General features: G+C 47.6%; 1 protein-coding gene across 1 annotated transcript; it reads right to left on the reverse strand.

Annotated features, from left to right (window-relative positions):
* NHLRC1 (NHL repeat containing E3 ubiquitin protein ligase 1) lies at positions 661 to 2898 on the reverse strand. The gene has a single exon (NM_198586.3). The coding sequence runs from the start codon at positions 2825 to 2827 to the stop codon at positions 1640 to 1642; it is 1188 nt and encodes a 395-aa protein (NP_940988.2). The 5' UTR covers positions 2828 to 2898; the 3' UTR covers positions 661 to 1639.

A 5485-nucleotide genomic window follows, 5' to 3' on the forward strand; every position in this document is an offset into this window, starting at 1 on the left:
CAACGTTTCTTGTTATGTTTTCAGAATACCCGTGAAGTTACCAGCCTAGGGGTGACTTTAAGGGTGGAGTGTGTGCATGTGGGGAGAAGAGGTTTGTCCATAGAACTTCTTTTTAAAATGCATTTATAAATCGTGGTCTAGGGTGCCCCAAATCTTACTATTAGTGCTATATGATGAGAGCATTGACAAGAAAATGGGTTTTTGTGGACTGGCATGGGAGTTAGGCTCTCGCTTTTACTTTACGTGGGCGAGGCACAGTGGCTCATACCTATAGTCCCAATGCTTTGGGAGGCCAAGGCAGGAGGCTCTCTTGAGCCCAGGAGCTTGAAACCAGTTTGGGCAACAAAAACAAGATCCCATCCCTACGAAAAATTTAAAAATTAGCTGGGCATGGTGACACACCTGTAGTCCCAGCTACTCAGGATGCTGACGCAGGAGGATCGCTTGAGCCCAGGGAGTCGAGGCTGCAGTGAGCAGTGATCAATCCACTGCACTCCAGCCTGGGCAACAGAGCAAGACCATGTCTAAAAGCAAACAAACAAACGAAAAAACCCCATAAACATGTAACAGGAGCGTCATCAGCCCTTTGACGCTAGTATGTAGTGTGTTCTGCAATAGTTTAGAACTTACACAAATATAGGCCTTTCTCAAACAACCAAGTGGTATTTTCTGAGTTTGTATAGTGGAGAAGATATAGGCGTTAAAAGACATGTTTACTTTTTTAATAAGCAGTTCAATTGTTTTTCTTATTCACGTAACTCAGGATCAACAGTAACTTCATCTAATGTGCCATCAGAGCAGTCGCAAATTGAATGAAAGTGATGGCCACCACAAAATCCTTTTTCTCCTGAACTCTCCATAAAGTCTCCTTTCTTTGCACATCTTTGTGCTAAAATAATTAGCTACTTGTAAAGACAGTACACATAGCAACACTACACATTCACATATTTTTCCCACATCTGTTGTCTTATTTAAGCGCAACTTATTTGGAATCAGAATTGAATTCAAATTGGGACTAAGGCAGTAAGTAACTATGACCTCGAGGAAGTCACTTAAGCTCTCTGGGTCTCAGTTTTCTCACTTGTACAATGAGATTAATAATAAAAATTATGGCTGAGCAAGTGGCTATGCCTGTACTCCTAGTACTTTGGGAGGCCGAGGAAGGTGGATTGCTTGAACTCAGGAGTTTGAGACCAGCCTGGGCAACATGGTGAAACCCCATCTCTGCCAAAATACAAAAATTAGCTGAGTGTGGTAATGCACACTTGTGGTCCCAGCTACTTGGGAGGCTGAGGTGGAAGGACCACCTGAGCGGGGGACGTTGAAACTGTAGTGAGCTGTGATCATGCTTCTGCACTCCAGCCTGGGTGACAGAGCTTGACTCTATCTTGGGGGGGAAGAAATTACCTCACTGGATAGTACAGATTAAATAAGCTAATATTTGCAAATTTCCTTGCACAGAGTATGCATTCAATAAATGGTAGATTAATCTCCAATAACTGTCCCAAGCTTTGTAAGTCTGCCAGATGGTTTTAATTATCCCTGCCTGGATAGATGAGTTTAAGTGACTTATCCAGGGTTAAACAATTCATTAATGGCAGCACTAGTGCTTCTGATTCCAGGGACCCACCCCAGCCCATCACCCCCAGTCAACTTTATAGACTTTTATAGAATGAGATGCTGTGTCCAGCACAAGAAGAGAATTCTCCTTGGTGAAGGTAAGAGCCACAGGATGCGAAAGACCATGAGTGACCATGGGCTTCGGTACTGGAAACTCCTCAGGTTTTCCTAAGCAAAGGATAGCTGGACCAGATGTATCTGCAACAATCACATTTCCCTGGTGATCAAAGGTCACAGCGGAGGCAGTTATTTTGGAGGGAAAGTAGAGGCTCAGCCCAAAGGTATCCACTTGGCCGACAAGCTGCATACTTGAGCTAAACACTTTCACCCTGGTGCTGCAAACCCCAGTCCCCAGGGCCAGGGGGTGCTCCAGGACCGCAATGGCCCCGGTGAGCCAAGACACTGCCACCCCTCGGGGATTGCACAGATGAGCTTGCAACCTTTCAGTTCTCCGAAGGACCCCTTCCGCGAAGTCGACGTCCAGGAGGTGCAGGGACCCTGCCTCCGCATCAGTTACCACAATCCCATTCTGAGGGGTGGTCTCCACACCCCAAGGTAAGGAGAATTGGCCTCCAATGACAAGCTTGATCTGGCCAAAAAAATCAAACACTTTGATGGAGCGATCGCCGGCGTCAGTGACAACCACATGGCAGTCGTTGGTGATGGTGACATCCACAGGGTACCTAATGTCTTGGGCAGCGTCCCCCTTCTCTCCAAACTGATGCGCGCATCCTCCCCCTGAGTCAAAAATCTTGACACGCCTCCTGCCGTCGTGCACCACCACGACACGCCCCGTCTTGGGACAAAGCGCCAGTCCGGTGGGGTTGACCAGGGTCCCCCAGCCGCCGAAGGTGTGGTGGCAGGTGAGGGCTCCGGGGGCGCTGGGGGCGGCGCGATGGGCGGCCGGGGACTGGCGAAGCGCTGAGCCCAGGAGCTCTATGAGGTGCAGCACCGGCAGGCAGTCGCTGGTGTCGCAGCCCCGGCAAGCTCGCCTGCAGAATGGGCACTCGAGGGCCAGAGTGCGCGGGTGCGCCAGGGCGGCCACGCAGGCCAGGCAGACCACGTGGCCGCAGGACAGGTTGCGCGGGCGCCGCTGCTGCCGGTGGCCAAACTTCTCAAAGCACACCTTGCACTCGAGCAGGCTGATCTCCGCCTCGCGCATGAGCTCATGCAGCGCTGGCCCGCTCTCCGAGGCTTCGGCCGCCATGGCGCGTCCTGTGCACTCCCGCCGCGCCGCCTGGCCGTGCCCCAGCGACGCTCTCGGTCACGGTCACAGTCATGGTCACGGGGTGGGACGTGCGCCCTGACGTCGAGCGCCGCGGGCCTCTGCACTGCGATCTGCTGCCCCTTGGTGGGCACGCGCGGCACTGTTTCCTGAGGGCCTGATGGTGGACGTTTGCAAGACAAATCCACATGCGCGTTGTGTAGACCTGTAATCGTCACAGCAGTCATGGATGGATTGTGTACACTTTCAGATGAGGAAACACACCTATTGAGGACAACAGGATTGCTCCCTGTCACCCAGCCTGTAAGCGGCAAAACAAGAACTAGAACCCAATCTTCCAGCCCGGGTGCCTAGCAGTGTCTCCAATCCGCAGCGCCGGGTGCTACGGCTGTCCGGGCATAAAACATGGTCCCTTAGCTCATGATGCTTATGATCTGAACCGGAAAACACGAACACACTAGAGAAGATAAACTCCAAGGGAGGTGAGGCAGATGTGTACATTTCTTTTGTGTCTTCTGTCATACTCATAGTTAAGTCAATGTTAGATGAATACATACTTGTAAAATGAATTTGTGCATGAATGAATGTTATAGAACAACAACAACAACAAAAAAAAATCAACGAGGTGAATGAGTGTCAGATGGGGCAACCATGCTGGAAGTGTCTTGCAGAGTAATTAATATGAAATAAGAAAGCTGTTAGTTAATAATAATTACCATAGAACTTCATTTTTTTGTTTTTTAAGACAAAGTCTCACTCTGTCACCCAGGCTGGAGTGCAGGGGCACGATCACAGCTCACTGCAGCCTCCATCTCCCAGGCTCAAGCAATCCTCCCACTTCAGTAGCTGGGACTACAGGCATGCACCATCACACTAGGCTAATTTTTTAATTTTTTTGTAGAGAGGAGGTCTCACTATGTTGCCTAGGCTGGTCTTGAACTTGTGAAAATTGTTCACATTCCTCCCCACCCCTTGGCCTCCCAAAGTGCTGGTGTGAGCCACTGTGCCCAGCCTATGGAATTCACATATGCCTGCCCCATTGTGTTAGGTTGGTGAAAAGGATTCGCAGTGTTTGCCATCACTTTTAATGGCAAAACCGTGATTACTTTTGCAGCAAATTAATAAATAATTTACATAGATTATCTTGTTTAAACCTCATAGCAATCCTACAAAAATATGTTATTTTTATTGTCTTTTTTTCTGATAGAATTCATAGAAATCAAATATCTTGCCCAGGGTCACATGGCTAGGAAGTGGCTGGCCTGGAATTTGAAGCCAGGCAGTTTGACTTCAGAGTTACCTATTTTAGTCATTTTCAAACTTCTTTGCACATGGTAAACACCTGGGTCGCACCCGAAAAGTTTAATTGGCCCATGGTGTGGTCTGGACAGCTGGGATTTATAAAAGCTCCCCAGGTGATTATAATGTACAGCCAAGTTTGAGAAACACTGCATTATAATAATTCCCTCAAATGACACTAAGTTCAGTTTTTCCAATCTCAGTTAAGACCAAAAACAAAGAGAATTTGCCATATGTTGGAAAATCTTCAAACAAGGGATAGCATAATCTGTGTGAAGAATCCATTGTGGTATTATAATCTCTCATTTTTCTTTTTCTTTCTTTTTTTTTTTTTTCTTTTTGAGACAGAGTCTTGCTCTGTCACCAGGCTGGAGTGCAGTGGCGCGATCTCGGCTCACTGCAGCCTCCACCTCCTGGGTTCAGGCGGTTCTCCCACCTCAGCCTCCTGAGTAGCTGGGATTACAGGCACCCGTGACCATGCCTGGCTAAGTTTTGTATTTTTAGTAGAGATGAGGTTTCACCATGTTGGCCAGGCTGGTCTCAAACTTCTGACCTTTCGCGTCAGCCTCCCAAAGTGCTAGGATTACAGGCATGAGCCACCGTGCCTGGCCCTAAACTCTTATTTTTAAGGGGTTCTCCCTCAAATGTCTTATGTGAACATTGTGCTTAACAAAACCTTGTATTAGAGAATTTCTTTTCCTTTAGAGATCATAATCATGAACATTCACCTTCTGATTTGCTAGATTTCTGAGAAAACACAATATTTTATCCCCTGTTGAGGCCCCTGGAAAGAGCTTTAATGTAAGACAAGAAAGAACATTTTCTAATCAAATGTCATTTGACTCAAAGATTGCGTACTGGGACACAATAACCAACTTAATAATTTCTGACTACATTTCCATCCCAAATAAACAACCAACTAAAATCACATTATTTATGCAATCACACCATTGCATAATTGATTAATAACAAATATGTCTTGAATCTCACTCTGACATTTGGCATTTCCTATGACTATCATTTCCTCCTCCATGGCTGGGCCTCCATGGATTTACCCTGTGCTTCCCTCCGATATTCCTTCTATAGAGGGTCCTGGACTAGCATGCCCATCTTTTCCTGCTTCCACCTAGAACAAGCCCTGAGAGTTGTGGGGGCAAAGGGCTTGAAGAGCAGAACGTCTAGTTTCCAAAGTGGTCAATGGCTGCCCTATGAAAAAGTACCATACTATAGTGGAAGGAGAGTGGGGACCCAGCTCAGGATGGTTCCAGCAGAGAAGAGAGCACAGGGGGAGCATGAGTTAGGGGGAGTCAGTGCTTAGACAGGTGGGCTCCTGGTTGTGCA

Source organism: Homo sapiens, chromosome 6, assembly GCF_000001405.40.
Source record: "Homo sapiens chromosome 6, GRCh38.p14 Primary Assembly".
In the NCBI taxonomy this organism is placed as follows: domain Eukaryota; kingdom Metazoa; phylum Chordata; class Mammalia; order Primates; family Hominidae; genus Homo; species Homo sapiens.

Excerpts from the sequence above, each read along its gene's own strand:
- NHLRC1 (NM_198586.3), bottom strand. The coding sequence starts at position 2,827 with ATGGCGGCCGAAGCCTCGGAGAGCGGGCCAGCGCTGCATGAGCTCATG.